Raw genomic sequence first — 18,455 nt, forward strand, 5'->3', positions numbered from 1 at the left:
TAACGTGCTGTACAAGTTTGTAGCCTTGGAGCAACAGCCTAGTTGTGTAGCCCCTATACCATCTAGGTTTTTATAAGTACGGTGTATTCTATTTGCATAAAGAAATCACTTAATGACACATAACTTAGAACATAACCCTATCATTAAGCAACAGGTGACTCTGTGTGTGTGTGTGTGTGTGTGTGTGTGTGTGTAGAGGAGAGAAAGAGACCATTATCATATGAGTGTGTTGGGGCTGCTGAGAGGGTTTCGTTTACAAGTGACCTTGAGTGTATTTCATCTCTGGAATGCATGGTCCCTGCGCTCAAGCTACACAATCTGATTAGTGAAGTATTACTAATACACTAGAAAAATATACATAGTAATTACCAAATGACTGACACAATTTTATAGGGGGTTCAGAGAAACATCTGTGAATGGGTAATAATGAAAAAAGAAAAGTTTTTCTCTTTGTTTTAGTCTGACCCTTTTAACAGTCTCTATTCATAATGTGAGGAAATCGCTACAAAAACTGAAATATTGTAGATACTGTTCATTTGCATATGGAAATACTTGTATGCTGTGTGTTGTTCTTTCATGGGACAAACTCTACCCCTCCTCTCTCCACACACATATACACAAGCTATAAGTAGCCTAGCTTTCGCCATAGGAGTTGCTGGCTTTTTTAGTGAGAGTCAAGAGCTGGCTTGGTAAAGTCTTAAAGAATGGAGAAGAGGAGGAAGGAGAGAAGGGAAGAAAGAGGGAGTAAGTGTAACAGTAGAGGGAGAGAGTTAATACACTTGGATGCTGCTTACAAACCAAAAATTAGTCTCCTAATACTAATTTATGATTGTAAGAAAGTATATAAATATCTGACATATAGAAAATAGACAAGTGTTAATTTTAAAGGTATTAATTGCTACAAACTAAATTAATATTTTAAGAATTCATTAAAAATTAGAATATTAGAAGAAAAATATTAACTTTCCCTACTGTGATTAGCTACTAGTTCAGTTTAACTGTCTTCAGCTAATTCTATATTATTGTTTTAATAGAAACCATATACATTCTTATGTGTATATGAGATTTGGACAATTGGTGTCAAGATCAAGTTAAATACAACTTTGTAACAATATTATGTTTTTTTGATTCAGCATGTAAGTATATGCCTCCTTTTATCCAAGGGTACATGTCTTTAAATAGAAACTGTGCTTGAAGAAAGCTGTAGAAGAATTTAATATTTAAATAAATGCTTTTGTAGGATGAAAAGAATTTACAGTGAATATAAAGCTCCTGCTTGACTGTTAATCTAAATTTTAATAATTTGTATTGCTTAAAGTAAGATGTAATTTAAAGTAGTGATTTTTTTGATGTCTTTTATCAGTAATTACTGTTTGAATTTTTATAGGAATCCATGGGAAAGAGCTATGATGGGAGAGCTTATGTCATCACTGGCATGTGGAACCCCAATGCACCAGTATTTCTGGCACTTAACGAGGAAACCCCAAAAGGTGACTTTTCTTAAAAGATCCCTTATTGTTTGCTTTACATTTTATATTATGAACAATGTTGCTTGTCATGTTTTAAAAAAAATTTGGAACTCAAAGTGGACTTATTCTTTCATTGAGAATTTGAGGTTCATTTTTATTCTTTATGCTTCTATGGGGGAAATCTCCACTATTTAAAAAAATCCTCCCCAAAAGATATGTGAATTATTATTATTGTTATTATTTTAAGAGACAGGGTCTCACTCTGTTGCCCAGGGTAGAGTATAGGGGCATTATAGCTCACTGTAACCTCAAACTGTCATGCTCAAGCAATCCTCCCACCTCAGCCTCCTGAGTAGCTATTAAATAGAACTACAGGTGTGTGCTGCCATGCATGGCTAATTTTTAAATTTTATTTTTGTAGCGATGGGGTCATGCTTTGTTGCCCAGGCTTGTCTTGAACCTTTGACCTCAACTGATCTTCTTGCCTTCCAAAGCACTGGGATTACAGATGTGAGCCACTGCACCTGGCCTGAATTAATTTTATTAGATTATAGAGAAAGCATTTGGGCTTTGTTTTTCATATACCACTATAGAGTTATTTCATTTGTGGAGACTAGTGATGGAGAAATATTAAAGAAAATGATGAAAAGGAAATATTTTAGAATTTTGAATATTTTTAAATTATTAACTATTTTTGCATTATAGTTTACTTATAGTTTTTCATTTATTAATTATTGGCTCCAGTCTTTTGGCCTTCGGGATGCTTGTAATATATATTAAATATTTCAGTTGTAGCAAATAGTTTTTTCTTAGTTTTTTAACTTTTCATATTATTTATCATGTCTAGTATTGAACAGAATGTATAAATGTTGAATAGTCACATTTTTCGTTGTTCCATTGTGTTTTTTCATTCCTACTTCATCCAGATAGCTGTTAATTGCCTGTTTTTTGCCCCTTCATTATCTACTTTTAAACTAAATTTAAAGTTTTACCTGCCGAGTTATATGCCTACCCTAAGTGCTTTACTGTCATTAAACCATTAATTCATATTTAGAATATAATGGATCAGTTTGTTTTATCATTAATTTTTATATTATTTAGTTTATACCCACAGTAGACTTTTGGTTACTGACAGGAAGCATTCGTGAATACTGATATGAAAATATAATATGTTAATGAAGGGCATTAAAATGATAATTATTCTTTCATTTCCTTAAAGAGAGTATTCACCATTTATATAAATCACATACATTGATCACATATTAAGCTGTCTAAAAATAAAGGCTAAACAGAAAAAAAGATTATATAAAATTTAACTTTTCATTTATTAGCAGTAAATAATTTTTAGACCCACAATTTGTTATTTCTGGAGACAGGCTTGCAAATACCTGTAACTTCTTTCTTATACTTGTTCAGAAGGAAGCCACAAAAATGATAAAAATAAGCCAGTTGACAGTTTTGAAGAACAAAATATAAGAATTTTGCATATCAAGTTATAAAAATAGTTTTTATGTTTTTAATGTAACACCTAGTTTAGTTTTATTTTGCAATAAAATATATATTTGGTCCACAAAAGAAAATTTATTTATAATTTATTCTATTAAACTATATAATAGTATATTATAATATTCTGATTCAAAGTATACATTTTAAATTTAACATTATCTCATATGCCACACAAAAATGTTGCCCTGATTTTTAAAATTTCTAAATTATGTCCTTGAAATTACACATTACTCAGAGAATGTGTGATCAAATAAAGTTTGATTTTTATGGAAGAAGTTTAGAACCTGAGAGATGAAAAGTCTTGGATCTTTCCACTGCACTAAGATCCAGTTGAATGTTATATTCTGTCTTGTGTTATTACTCCTTACTCCTTTCTCTAAGGTCCTCCAGGTCAAGTATAATGTCTAACAAATTTTAGTTTCTCTTGAATTGGCAGGTGTATTTAGTAAGACTGTATTTAGTAAGAATGTAATAAAATTGTTATTGAATTTGAGAAGTAGTTGATGAATCTGAATGTTATATAATATTTAAAAACACTATTGAGGGTTTCTTCTAGTGGTGGCCTTGGTTATTTGGACTTTCCTTTAACAGAGAACTAAAAATTGTAAAGAAAATAAATTTTAAAAAATATTTAAAAAGGAATGAGGAAATTACAAAATGGTATGGAATGACCAGGCCATAGATTCAAAAACCTCAATGAGGCCAGGTGTGGTGGCTCACGCTTGTAATCCCAGCACTTTGGGAGGCTGATGGGGGTGGATCACCAGAGGTCAGGAGTTTGAGACCAGCCTGGCCAACATGGTGAAACCCCGTCTGTAGTAAAAATATTTTAAAAATCAGCTGGGTGTTGTGGCGGGCACCTGTAATCCCAGCTACTTGGGAGGCTGAGGCAGGAGAATTGCTTGAGCCCTGGAGGCGGAGGTTGCAGTGAGCCAAGATCGCTCCATTGTACTCCAGCCTGGGTGAGACTCTGTCTCAAAACAACAAACACTTAGGATTATTAGTTCCTAAGAAACATGCTTGGAGTACTTGCATACTTATTTAATCAAAATGTGAATAGAACAGTTAAAAATAAACATAGAAGGTATTACAATTGTAAAGAACTTTAATTCTTTCATAAGTGAGGAAACTTTGTTTAAAGTAGACAAGGAATAATAAAGCTCGCATAAAACCCAGAAAATTTCTACTACAGATAAGCAAGTATACATGACTGTGGCAGTGGATATGGTAGTCACAGAGGTGGTGGAGCCTGTTCGCTTTCTCCTGGAGACAGTAGTCCGTGTGTACCCTGCAAATGAGCGATTTTGGTATTTCAGCAGAAAGACTTTCACAGAGACTTTCTTCATGAGATTGAAACAGGTAGGACCTTTTTGTTCTCTTCATATATAGTAACAAACATTTTTCTTTCCACACTTCTTTTTTAATGCCAAGATAATTCCTGAAGTTGCAAAACAATACAATTCCTCAAAGAAATCAAATGATATTTGAAGTCAACCAATAGAGTGTTTGAAAAAGTCACATCTAGGTAATATTAGCTAAAAAAACCCAGCAAGTTTAATAATTACATACTTTTTCCCTAGAAACCTGTAATGTATGAACCTTCTTAACAGAAATATTGACTGCATATAAAACAACGTTTCTGCCTTTTATAAACAATTACTTAAAACCAAAAAGGCAGTGCACAGAAATATCATATGCTTATAAAATTTTAATGAAAATGTTTCTAAGAAATACCTAATTTCTATAGTTATTTCTGCCTGTAATATTAGATAGACAATATTATATGAACATCTTGTTTGACTCATCAGTGAGGTTATAAAATTATTTTAATATTAAATGAACAAAATTATGGTTTCTATGATATCCTCAAATTAGGCAGTATTAGTAGATAAAATATGTAACTTTTGTATTATAGCAAAGGAAGCAGATAATAATGAAAAATAACTTGAATGCTAATTGTGTGAGTTTTTAAAAAATCAGGATAAAAATGCTCTATTAGAATAATGAACATCTTTTATATGCTGTTTTTGTTAGTACTTTCATTCTCCCAAGTTTTAAAATGCTTGCTGCTTCATATACTATAATATGTGGACTGCTGTGTGATAAAAGCAGGCACCAGTACAGGAAACAAATATAGAAGCCTCTTACCCATTTTCATATTAAAAAAACTGCCATGGCGCATCTCGGCTTTATATACTATGTACTTGGAAATTATTGTGGTTTTAAAAAAATCTTTCATAAAATTATTATGGCTGTTATTTGACTCAGTTTTTATTACTGTGTGAACTGCTTTTATAGCATATTCTAATGAAGGTTATGTGAGCAATATTCAAACTTCAGTCTCCTGAGCATCTTTTAATATTTTATTATGAGACTTTTTTCCTGTCTTCCTTCCTCCCCATCCTTCTTTTTTAAAAAAATAGCTTAGTTATGACTATCCAATAATTCTTCATTTTGAGCCAAAGAATTATTCATAGTTGCATAATCGTGAATAAAGGAGCTGGAGCTGTATAGAAAGTTGTCATTCTTCTAATGATGATAAATTATAATGTAAATTATACCTCCTAGAGATCTGAGAAAATGTTAGGTTTTTCCCAGTTCTAGTACTTTTGACTGTCTGTCTGCCTGGAGAGAGAGAGAGAGAGAGAGAGAGAGAGAGAGAGAGAGAGAGACATTAAAGTAATTGTTAAAATTCATGTAAGTAATTATTGCAAGACCTGAGACTATAACTCCTTACCTTAAGCCAGAATATGCTGCTGTAAGGCCAGACTAGCTTCTTTCTACACCTCCAAAAGGTGGGTTGGTTTGGGGTGGTTGATGGTAATCTGGAGATGTTGGTCTACACTATACAACATTGGTAGAAAGAATGAATTAGGTGATTACCTAATGCAATTCAAAGTAACCTTTGAAAATCTGGGTCCAGGCCATTACTACTTTAAAGAAATAAAGAGAGAATGCATTGATTTCAGTTCTAAGTGATTTAGACACCTAGAACTTTTTCTTTCATTCTGAGAGTGTTGAACTTATTGAATGAAACCAGAACTTGTCCTGTACCCAGACAGGATTAGACCAGACTCCTGGGGGCAACACCAAAGTACATGAGATGCCCTGTTCCCAAACTATTTTTTCTTGGCAACTTTCTTCTCTCAAATATAGCAGAACTTTATGTGTGGGCAGTGGGGATGTATGAAAGTCTGCTTTGTTCCTGTTTACTGTCCACTCAGGGCCAAATGGCATTTCATTTCATTCATTGTCCATTTACTGGGAGCAAGGAGAGCACTTAACAAGAGGATGGAAACTAGAGTCTGGGAAAGTAAACTAGAGGCTGGGAAAGTAAACTAGAGAAAGTCCTTTTGTGTCCGGAATTGGTTCCTTTCAGTGGGTTCTTGGTCTTGCTGACTTCAAGAATGAAGCCGCGGACCCTTGCGGTGAGTGTTACAGTTCTTAAAGATGGTGTGTCCAGAGTTTGTTCCTTCAGATGTACAGATGTGTCTGGAGTTTCTTCCTTCTGGTGGGTTAATGGTCTCACTGACTTCAAGAGTGAAGCCGCAGACCTTTGCAGTGAGTGTTACAGCTCTTAAAGGTGGCGTGTCTGGAGTTGTTTGATCCTCCCGGTGGGTTCGTGATCTTGCTGGCTTCAGGAGTGAAGCTGCAGACCTTCGCGGTGAGTGTTACAGCTCATAAAGGTAGTGCGGACCCAAAGAGTGAGCAACAGCAAGATTTACTGTGAAGAGCAAAAGAACAAAGCTTCCACAGAGTGGAAGAGGACCCGAGCGGGTTGCTGCTGCTGGCTTAGGTGGCCAGCTTTTATTCCCTTATTTGGCCCAGCCTGCGCCCTGCTGATTGGTCCATTTTACAGAGCACTGATTGGTCCATTTTACAGAGCGCTGATTGGTCCATTTTACAGAGTGCTGATTGGCCTGTTTTTACAGAGTGCTGTTTGGTGTGTTTACAAACCATTAGCTAGACACAGAGCACTGACTGGTGCGTTTTTACAGAGTGCTGATTGGTGTGTTTACAAACCTTTAGCTAGACAGAGTGCTGATTGGTGCGTTTACGCTCCTTTAGCTGGACAGAAAAGTTCTCCAAGTCCCACCCGACCCAGAAGCCCAGCCGGATTCGCCTCTCACCTTGACCTGAGTCTAAGGGGAGTAGACATTAATTAGGTGTAAGTGGGAAACACCAAGTATAAATGCCCAGAGAACTAGAAAGACTGGGAAGCACAGTAGCTGATGATGAAAGGCAAGTAGGCCCCTGGCCATGTGAAACTTTGGAGTCCACGTTCAGAGTTCTTTTCTAAATCAACTTTATTGAGGTAGTTAGCATACAGTAATATGCACCCATTTAATAGTACATTTTGATGAGTTTTGACAAATTTATACACATGAATAATTACCACCAAAATTAAGATCCCTCACTCTTAAAAGTTCTATAGTGTCCATGCCAGCTAATCTTTCTCACCTTCAGCCTCAGGCAATGACTGATGTGCTGTCATTACAGTAACTGGAATCATATGCTTCTTTTATGTAAAAGCTTTCTTCATGTAACAATGCCTTTGAGATCCATCCATGTTGTATGTCAGTTGTTAATCTTTTTATTGTTGAATGTTATTCCTTTGTATAGCTGTACCATAATTTATTAGATCATATGTTGGCAATTTGAGTTGTTTCCATTTTTGGTTCATGTGGTTAATTAAAGCTGCTGTATCTTTCTGTGGACATAGATTTTCATTTCTTTTGGGTTGATACCAAGAAATGGAATTGCTGTGTGGTATGGTAAGTAGAAACTGCCAAACTGTTTTCTACAGTGCTTGACCACTTTATTTTCCCTCCAGCAGTATATGTGTGTCCCAATTTCTCCTCATCCTTGCCAGCACTTAGTATCGTCAGTCTTTTAAATTGTAGCTATTCTTAGGGGTGTGTAGATGTATCTCATTGCAATGTCAATTTACATTTCACATTGAGTAATGATTTTGAGCATTTTTTTCTTATGGTTATTAATCATTCATATATCTTCTTTATAAAATGTCTAAAATTTTTGTCCACTTTTTGTTTGTCTTACTGAGTTGCAAGAGTTGTTTATATTTTCTGAATATATTTTCTTTTGTCAGATACACATATTTCAAATAGTTTCTTCCTGACAGTGGCTTGCCTTTTTATTTTCATAATGTCTCTTGAAGAACTGAAGTTTTACATTTCGATGAAGTCATATTAATATTTTATTTTATTGTTTTTGCTTTTTTTGTGTCCTATCTAAGGAAATTTTGCCTACCTCAAGGTTGTGAAGATGTTCTTTATGTTTTCCTGTAAAGACTTTATAGTTTCAGGCCTATTACCTATTTTCTGTTAATTTGTATGTATGGCATGAAGGCTTGAGGTCATCTTCCCACACCTCTCTCATGTGGGTATACAGTTGTTCCAGCATCATTTGTTGAAAAGACTCTTTTATCTATAGAATTAGTTTGTCTAAAATTAATTGACTGTAGATGTATAAGTCTGTTTCTGGGACACTATTTCTCTTCCATTGAACTCTATGTGAGTACCACACAGTCTTGCTCATTATAACTTTATATTATGTATTAAAGTCTGTGTTGTAAGCTTCCCAACCTTTCTCATTCTTAGTTTTATTTGTTGCGAGTTCTTTGCATTTCCATCTGAATTTTAGGATTAGTTTGTCAGTTTGTAGAAAAATGCATGCCCAGGCTGGACGCAGTGGCTCACACTGGTAGTCCCAGTACTTTGGGAGGTTGAGGCAGGAGGATCACTTGAGGCCAGGAGTTTGAGACCAGCCTAGGCAACATAGCAAGACTCAGTTTGTAAAAAAAAGTAAAATAAAATTACCCAAGCGTGGTGGTGTGCACCTGTGGTCCCAGCTTCTCAGGAGGCTGAGGTGGGAGGATTGCTTGAGCCCAGGAGGTTGAGGCTTCAGTGAGCCGTGATCATGCCACTTGCACTCCAGCCTGGGCCACAGAGTGACACCCCATCTCTAAAAAATAATAATAAAAAAAAGAAAAATGCATTCCCAGATTTTGACTGAGAATGCCTGAATATGTAAATGATTTTGGGAAGAGTTGCTGTTTTTTTTGTTTGTTTGTTTGTTTTTTTGAGACGGAGTCTCAACTTGTTGCCCAGGCTGGAGTGCAGTGGCACCATCCCAGCTCACTGCAACCTCTGCCTCCCAGGTTCCAGTGATTCTCCTGCCTCAGCCTCCCGAGTAGCTGGGACTACAGGTACCCACCACCACGCCTGTCTAATTTTTGTATTTTTAGTAGAGACGAGGTTTTGGCATGTTGGCCAAGCTGGTCTTGAATTCCTGACCTCAAGTGATCCACCCTCCTCGGCCTCCCAAAGTGTTGGGATTATAGGCGTGAGCCACTGCACCTGTCCTTTAGGAGTTGCTGTCTTAAGAGTGAGTCTTCAATAAACATGGCCTGTCTCATGGAGTATCACTTCATTTATTTAGCTCTTCTTTAATTTATCTCAGCAGTTATGTCACTTTTAGTATACAGGTTTTACACATACTTTAATTTATCTCTACCTAGTTCATGAATTTTTCATCTCAGGGTATAATTGAAAAAACGGAATAGACTTAAGGTGTACAATGTGATGATTTGATACATATATATTGTGAAATGATTACCGAAATCAAGTTAGTTAACACATCTGTCACCTCACGTAAGTTACCTTTTTGTGTGTGTGTAGAACACTTAAGATCTACTACTGTCTTAGCAAATTTCAAGTACACAATACAATATTGTTAACTATAGTCACCATGGAACATATTCATCTTATAACTGAAAGTTTTTACCCTTTGATCAGCATCTCACTTTTTCCCCCAAACCCCATCTCCTGGCAACCACCATTCTACTCTGTTTCTATGAGTTTAACTTTTTTAGACTAGTTAAAAATGAGATCATACAGTATTTGTCTTTCTAGTCTAGCTTTTTTTACTTAGCATAATGCTCTCCACCTTTACCCATGTTACTGCAAATGGCAGAATTTTCTTCTTCTTTATGGCTGAGTCATATTCCATTATGTGCAAGTATGTGTGTATATATTCATTCATTCATTGACAGACATGTTTCCATGTCTAGTGAATAATGTTGCAATGAACATGGAGTGCAGATATGTCAAGATACTGATTTTGTTTCCTTCAGATATATACCCAGCAGTGTGATAGCTAGATCATGTGGTAGCTCTATTTTTAATTTTTTGAGTACTCTTTGTACTGTTTTTCATACTGGCTATACCAGTTTACATTCCTACCATCAGTGTGCAAGGGTTCTGTTCTCACCAACATTTGTTATTTCTTGTCTTTTTTTTTTTTTTTTTTTTTTTTTTGTGATGGGGTCTCATTATGTTGCCCAGGCTGGTCTCCAGCTTTTTTTTCCCCCAAGATTGCTATGGATATTCGGGTTCTATATGAATTTTAGGATTGTGAAAAATGCCATTGGGATTTCGATAGGGATCACATTGAATCTATAGATTTCTTTGGATAGTATGGACATTTCAACAATATTTTTCCAATCCATGAACATGAGATAACTTTCCATCTATTTGTGTCATTTTCAGTTTCCTTCATCAATGTCTTACAGTTTTGTTTTTTGTTGTTTTGTGATGGAGTGTTGCTCTTGTTGCCCAGGCTGGAGTGCAGTGGTATGATCTTGGCTCACTGCAACCTCTGCCTCCCGGGTTCAAGCTATTCTCCTGCTTCAGCCTCCTGAGTAGCTGGGATTACAGGTGCTTGCCACCACGCCCGGCTAATTTTTGTACTTTTAGTAGAGATGGGGTTTTGCCATGTTGGCCAGGCTGGTCTCGAACTCCTGACTTCAGGTGATCTGCCTGCCTTGGCCTCCCAAAGTGCTAGGATTACCGGCATGAGCCACCATGCCCAGCCAATGTCTTACAGTTTTTAGTGTATGGATCTTTCACTGCCTTGGTTAAATTTATTTGTAAGGGATTTTTTTGTTTGGTATGCTACTGTAAATGGGATTTTTTTTACATTTATTTTTCAGATAGTTTGTCGATTTCGTATAGAAATACAAGCAAATTTTGAATGTTAAGTTTGTACCCTGTAACTTTACTGAATTTGTTCTAACCGTTTTTTTTTTTTTGGTGGAGTCATCAGAATTTTCTATGTAATAAGATCATGCCATCTACAAACAATTTAACTTTTTCATTTCCAATTTGGATGCCTTATCTTGCCCAGTTGCTCCTGCTAGGACTTTCAGTACTATGTTGAATAGATGTGGTGAGAGTGGGCACCCTTGTTACTATTCACCTTTGAGAATGATGTTAGCTGTGGGCTTGTCATATATGGTCTTTCTTATTTTTTGGGGTACATTCCTTCTATACCCAATTTATTGGGCATTTTTATCATGAAAGGATGTTGAATTTTGTCTTTTTCTGAATCTATTGAGAAGATCATATGATTTTTATGTTTTATTAATGTGGTTTATCACATTTATTGATTTGTGTACGGTGAATCATCTTGCACCCCAGGGATGAATACCATTTGATCATGTGTATGATCTTTTTACTCTGCTGTTGATTTCAGCTTGCTAGTGTTTTGTTGAGAACTTTTGCATCTGTGTTCATTTGGATTACTGGCCTATAGTTTTCTTGTGATGTCTTCGTCTGGCTTTGGTATCAGGGTAATGCTGGCCCCATGAAATGAGTTTGCAAGTATTTCCTCCTCCTCAATTTTTTTTGGAGGAATTTGTGAAGGATTGGCATTAAATGTTTGGTGGAATTCAGTGGTGAAACCATCAGGTCCTGGGCTTTGCTTTGCTGGGAGACTTTTTATTGCTGATTCAGTCTTATTATTCTTTATTGGTCTGTTCAGATTTTCTGTTTCTTCATTATTTTATCTTGGTAGGTCATATGTTTCCAGGAATTTATTTATTATTCTAGGTTATCCATTTTGTTGCCATATAGTTGTTCATAATAGTCTCTTATGATCTGTTGTATTTCTGTGGTATCAGTTATAATGCCTCTTCTTTCATTTGTAATTTTATTTATTTGAGTCCTCTCTCTTTTTTTCTTGGCTATTCTAGTTAAAGTTTTGTTTATCTTTCCAAAAAACCAGGTTTTAGTTTTGTCCATCTTTTCTGTTGTTTTACTCTTCTCTATTTCATTTATTTCTGCTCCAGTCTTTACTATTTTTTCCATATGCTAATTTGGGTCCAGTTTTTTTTCCCCTAGTTTGCTGAGATGTAAAGTTAAGTTGTTTGAGGTCTTTTTTTTCCCCATAATTTAGACATTTATCAATATAAACTTTCCCACTTAGAACTTCTTTTGCTTTATCCCATAAGTTTTGGTATGTTGTATTTCCATTTTGTTTTGTCTTAGATGTATTTTAAATTTCCTTTTGACCCATTGATTGCTCAGGAATGTGTTCTTTAGTTTCTATATATCTGAATTTTCCATTTTTCCCTCTGTTTTTATTTCTAGTTTTATACCATTGTGGTCAGAAAAGATACATGATATGATTTTAATTTTCTTGAATTTAAGACTTTTTTTGTGTGTCTTAACATATTTATTCTAAAGAATGTTCTGTGTGTGTGTGACAAGAATGTGTATTTTGCTGCTGTTGGATAGGATGTTCTTTATATGTCTATTAGGTCCATTTTTTCTATAGTGTTGTTCAAATCTGTTGATTCCTTATGATTTTCTGCCTGCATGATCTATCTACTGTCAAGAGTGGCATAATAAAGTCCCCTTTATTATTATATTGTCATTTATTTCTCCTTGCAGTTCTCTTAATACTTGTTTTATAATGAGGTACCCTGATGTTAGATGTATTACTATTTACAATAGTTAAATCTTCTTGATGAATTGACCCCTCTGTCATTATATAATGATCTTCTTTGTCTCTTCTGACAGTTTTTGACTTAAAGTCTACTTTGTCTGATATAAATATAGCCACTCTGTTCTCTTTTGGTTAACATTTGCATGGAATATCTTTTTCCATCCCTTCATTTTCAGCCTGTGTGTTCTCAAAGCTAAAGTGAGTCTCTTGTAGGTAGCATATTCTTGGATCTTAATTTTATATCCATTCAGTCACTCTATATCTTTGTTTTTGTTTTGAGAAGGAGTCTTACTTTGTTGCCCAGATTGGAGTACACTGGTGACTTGATCTTGGCTCATTGCAACCACCATCTCCTGGGTTCAAGTGATTCTCCAACCTCAGCCCCCCGAGTAGCTGGGATTACAGGTGTGCACCACCACACTTAGCTGATTTTTGCTTTTTTATTACAGACAGGGTTTCACTGTGTTGGCCAGACTGGTCTTGAACTCCTGACCTCAAGTAATCTGCCCGCCTCAGCCTCCCAAAGTGCTGAGATTACAGGTGTGAGCCATAGCACCCAGCCTACTCTATATCTTTTGATTGAATAATCCTTTTACATTTAATTATTGGTAGGTAAGGACTTATTATTGTCATTTTATTAATTTTTAAAATGGTTTGTAGTCCTTTGTTCCTTTCTTTCTCTTTTGCTGTCTTTCTTTATAATTTGGTGACTTTTTGTGATGGCAGGCTTTTATTTCTTTCTATTAATCTTTTGTGTATCTACTGCAGGATTTTGCTTTGTAATTACCATGAGGCTTACATAAAATATAATTATTACATGTTATTTTAAGCCAGTAACAACTCAACTGTGTTTGCATACAAAAATTCTACACTTTTACTCCCCCATCTCTCATATTTTAGGTTATTGATGTTACAGCTTTTAATATTGTGTGCCCATTAAAATTATTTTAGCTATAATTATTTTTAATATGTTTGTTTTTAACTTTTATACTAGAGTTGAAAGTGATATACATACCACCACAAGAATATTAGAGAATTCTGATTTTGACTATCTATTTGCTTTTACCAGTGAGTTTTATACATTTATATGTTTTTACATTGTTAATTAGTATCCTTTCATTTCAACTTGAAGAACTTTGGCATTTCTTATAAGGCAGATCTTTGTGATGATGAACTCCTTTAGTTTTTGTTTGTTGGGGAAAGTCTTTCTCTCTTTCATTTCTGCTGTACAGCTTTGCCAGGTATAGTATTCTTGGTTGAGGATTTCTTTTCTCTTTCAATATATTGAATATATTATTCCACTGTTTCCTCTCCTGCAAGGTATCTGCTGAGGAATCCACTTACAGTCTTACAAGGGCTCTTTTGTATGTGACAAGGTGCTTTTCTCCTGCCATTTTCATAATTCTCTCTTTGTCTTTGACTTTTGACAATTTAATTATACTATGTCCTGGTGTAGACTTTTCAGCCTGTTTGGAAATCTATGGGTCTCATAACTTTGACTGTCCTCTTCTTTTCCTAAATTTGGGATCTTTTCAGCCATTATTTCTTTATATAGATTTTTCAGTCTCTTTATCTGTCTCTTTTCCTTCGGATACTTCTGGAATGCTTATGTTGTTTTGCTCGATGGTGTTCCAGGTATCCTGTAGACTTTCTTCACTCTTTGTTTGTTTGTTTTTGCTTCTCTAACTGGATAATTTTAAGTGACTCATCTTTGAGTTCACTGATTTTTTATTCTTCTGCTTGGCCAAGTCTGCTGTTGAAGCATGCTATTAAATTTTTAAATTCAGTCATTGTATTCTTCAGCTTTATGATTTTTTGTAAAGAGGGTGCAGGGTCTCACTGTGTCACCCAGCCTGGAATGCAGTGGCACAATCATAGTTCACTGTAACTTCGAACTCCAGGGCTCAAGTGATGATCCCACCTTAGCCTCCCAAATAGCTAGAAAAACAGGCATGGGCCACCACACCCACCTAATTTTTTAAAAATAACTTTTGTAGAGACAGGGTCTTGCTGTTTTGCTTAGGCTTGTCTTGAATTCCTGGTCTCAAGAGATCTTCTCGCCTGGCCTCCCAAAGTGGTAGGATTATAGGCATAAGCCACTGTGCCTAGCTGGATTTTAAAAATGGTTTTTATTACTTTGTTGAACTTATTTTGTTAATGTATTGTTTTTCTGATTAGTTGTCTGTGTTTTCTTGTAGTTCACTGATTTTTAAGAGTATTATTCTAAATTCTTTGTTAGTTACATATCTTCATTTGTTTAGGGTCAGTTATTACAGCTTTATTAGTTTCCATTAGTGGTATCATGTTTCCCTGATTCTTTGTGATCCTCATATCATTGTATTAGTGTCTGCACAATTTAGGAAGTGATCACCTCTTCTAGCCTTTACATGTTCACTTTGGCAAGGAAAGATCTTTACTAGTCTGCCAAGCCTGGGCTTCTGGTTGGGCCAGCTGGTAGCATATGCAGGTAAGTGAGGCTGGGGTCTCTGATCTGGTGGGGCTGCTGCCGTTGCTCTAAGGTTGGGTGGAGCTCTCTTGTTGGGCAGGCCCCCTGACTGGTATCTGAGGTCAAGTGGGACTGTTGGTTGGGCTTTGTAATTGCCTCTGGTTGGGTGAGGCTGCAGGCTGTGCCCCAAAGTTAGGCGGGGTTGCTGGCTGGGCTCTACAGCTGGATGGCATTACAGTCAGGTAGGGATACTGATTGGACTCCCTGATTGGTTGGGGCTGGAAGCTGTGCCCCACTGTTTGATGTAGTCATTGGCTAGGCTCCCTGGTTGGGTGGGATTGCAGGTTATACTCTGGGCTGCTGGCTTGGTTCCCTGCCTGGGCATGGTTGCCATCTGTGCTTTGCAGCTGGGCTGGATTGCTGACTGGGAAACCTAGACACCCAGTACTGCCAACCATACTCCCTGGCCAGACTGGGTGCCAGGATTGCTTTGCAGGTGGGAGGAGCTGCTGCCTGGGCTCCTTGTCAGGTGAAGCTGTCAGCAGGGATGTGTGGTGCCATTGCCAAGATACATGTGCTTGTTGCATGTGGTCTAGTCCTGACAATTCTCAATATTCTGTAGGAGAAGAGATATAATTTGGCCTTTTGGGAAGCATGCTGGAATATTGGGAAAGCTAGATGTTCACCTTGTGCTGCTGGTGAAACCATAGACTCAGCAAATCTCTCTTGGCATGAGGCTGTTTTGGCCTGGGGTAGTGGCAACATCATCAAATTGAAATTGCTCCACTTATACTTCCAATACAACTTTTCTAAGTTTTGTGCTTCTGGAATTTTTGCAAAGATGTTCTTGTATGTAGATAGTTGCTAGTTGGTATTTCTGTGATGGGGACTAGAGCTTGGGACCTCCTATTCTGCCATCTTGCTGATGTCATTCCTCAGAACACACATGTTTTTGATATTACTATAAATTGTATTCTTTAAATTTTAATTTTTTATTGTTTATTTTTAGAATACATAAAGACTTGATTTTTGTATATTAGCCATATTTCCCGCAACTTTGCTAAATTAACTTGTTTTCTTTTTCTTGGTTTTTTTTTTTTTTGAGACTGAGTTTCGCTCCTGTTGCCCAGGCTGAAGTGCAATGGCGAGATCTCGGCTCACTGCAGCCTCTGCCTCCTGGTTTCAAGTGATTCTCCTGCATCAGCCTCCCGAGTAGCTGGGACTACAAGCATGTGCCACCACACCTGGCTAAGTTTTAATTTTTTGTAGAGATGGCTCTTGCTATGTTGCCCAGGCTGGTCTTGAACTCTTGGACTCAAGCAAGCCTCCCACTGCAGCCTTTTAAAATGCTGGGATTACAGGCATGAGCCACTGTGCCCAGCTCTTTTAGATTCTTAATGCTTTCTCTATATATTATCATGTTGTCTGCCAATAAAGGTAGTTTTCTATCTGAATGCCTATAAATTCTTTTTCTTCTCTTGCTTAGTTTTTTTCTTCCCCCTGTGAACAGTGTTGAAACTCTATCAAATATTTTTCTGCATCTTTGTGGTTTTTCCCCCTTTTTTTCTTATCAATATATTGAATTACATTGATTTTTTTTAAACATTAAGCCAACCTTGCATTCCTTAGGAAAAGTCACCCTTGGTGATGATGGTATTCTTTTTATATATCACTTTATTGACCCAGTAATACATTTTAAAAATAATTTTTATGTCTATTTTTATGAGACATTGGTTTATAGTTTTCTTATAATGTCTTTGTTGGATTTTAGTGTTCATGTAGTATGGTACCTCAAAAAATGAGTTGGAAATTGTTTCTTCCTATATTTGCTGGGAGAATTTTTATAAGATTTGTATTATTTCTTCCTTAATTGTTGGATAGAGTTCACCAGTGAAACCATCTGGGCCTATAGTTTACTTTATGGGAAGCCTTTTAAATCACGAATTTAATTTCTTTAGTAAATATTGGATTTATTCCACTTATTATTTTTTAAATTTCTTGAAATGTTGGTGATTTGTCTTTCAAGGAATGTTTCAATTTTATTTGGTCTATTGCACAAAATATTGACCTATTTTTTTTAAACATCTATAGGGTTTGTAGGATCTTCCTTTATTCCTGACATTGGTTAATTTATTTGTTTTCTCCCTTTGTTTTAATCAGTCTAGGTAGAAGTCTGTAACTTATTGACATTTTCCCTCCAAAGAGCCAGATTTCGGGTGGTTTGATTTTCTTATTTTTTTTTCTGTTTTCTCTTCAGTTTATTCCCTTTGTTGTTTCATTATTTTTCCTGCTTTGGGTTTCACTTGTGTTTCTTTTTCTGGCTTCATGTGAAGATTAGATCATTTATTATTATTATTATTATTATTATTATTATTATTATTGACAGGGTCTTGCTCTGTCACCCAGGCTGGAGTGCAGTGGCACGACCATAGTTCACTGTAGTGTTGAACTCCTGGGCTCAAGCGAGTCTCCCATCTCTGCCTCCTGAGTAGCTAGGACTACAGGTACATCCATCATGCTTGGCTTTTTATTTTTGTATGGATGGGGTGTTGCTATGTTGCTCAGGCTGGTCTCAAATTGCTCAAGCAGTTCTCCTGCCTTGGCCTCCCAAAGTGCTAGGATTACAGGTGTGGGCCATTGCACCTACCTAATCTTTTTTTTTTTTTTTTTTTTTTTTTTTTACTGCTTTTTTCCTAATACTTTTGTATTTCTAAGGTTTAAACCTTCCCTCTAACCACTGCTTTAGCTGCATTCCATGAACCTTAATATATTGTGTGTTCATTTTAATTATATTTGAAATATTTTCTAATTTCCCTTGTTATTTCTTTTGTGTCCTATGGGTCATTCAGAAGCATATTGTTTGATTTTCCAATATTTTTAGATTTTCCTTTTTTTTGCTATTGACTTCTGATTTAGTTTCATTTTGGTCACAGAGTATACTCTATATGATTTGAATTCTTTTAAACTGTTCAGACTTATTTTATGACTCAGCATATGGTCTACTGTGAATTTTTCAAGAGTACTTGTAAGGGATGTGTGCTCTGCAGTTGTTGAGTGGAGTATCCTATAAATGTCCATTATGTCAAGTTCTATAATAAGATTTTCCTGTGATCTTTACTCAGTAGATCAACAATTTCTATGACTATTACTGTAAGCAACAGTAGTAATAGCCACTACTAATTATTTTTTAATTAGTTTACTACATACCATACCCTCTTCTAAGC

At 36.0% G+C, this 18,455-nt stretch overlaps 1 protein-coding gene across 12 annotated transcripts in view; it reads left to right on the forward strand.

Moving 5' to 3' along the window:
- RABGAP1L (RAB GTPase activating protein 1 like) overlaps positions 1-18,455 on the forward strand; it is an 835,789-nt gene that overhangs the window by 114,926 nt on the left and 702,408 nt on the right. For 11 of the 12 annotated variants that reach the window (NR_158982.1, XM_011510223.3, XM_047436028.1 and 8 more), the window contains 2 exons: positions 1,388-1,490; positions 4,168-4,334. Coding sequence is in view for 11 of the 12 variants with exons in the window: in XM_011510223.3 (XP_011508525.1) it covers positions 1,388-1,490; positions 4,168-4,334 (270 nt within the window). In the remaining variant the exon portion in view is untranslated. Of the gene's footprint in view, positions 1-654; positions 745-1,387; positions 1,491-4,167; positions 4,335-18,455 lie in introns of those variants that run through there. The other variant, NM_001366449.1, reaches the window with a different exon arrangement.

This window comes from Homo sapiens, chromosome 1, assembly GCF_000001405.40.
Source record: "Homo sapiens chromosome 1, GRCh38.p14 Primary Assembly".
NCBI lineage: Eukaryota > Metazoa > Chordata > Mammalia > Primates > Hominidae > Homo > Homo sapiens.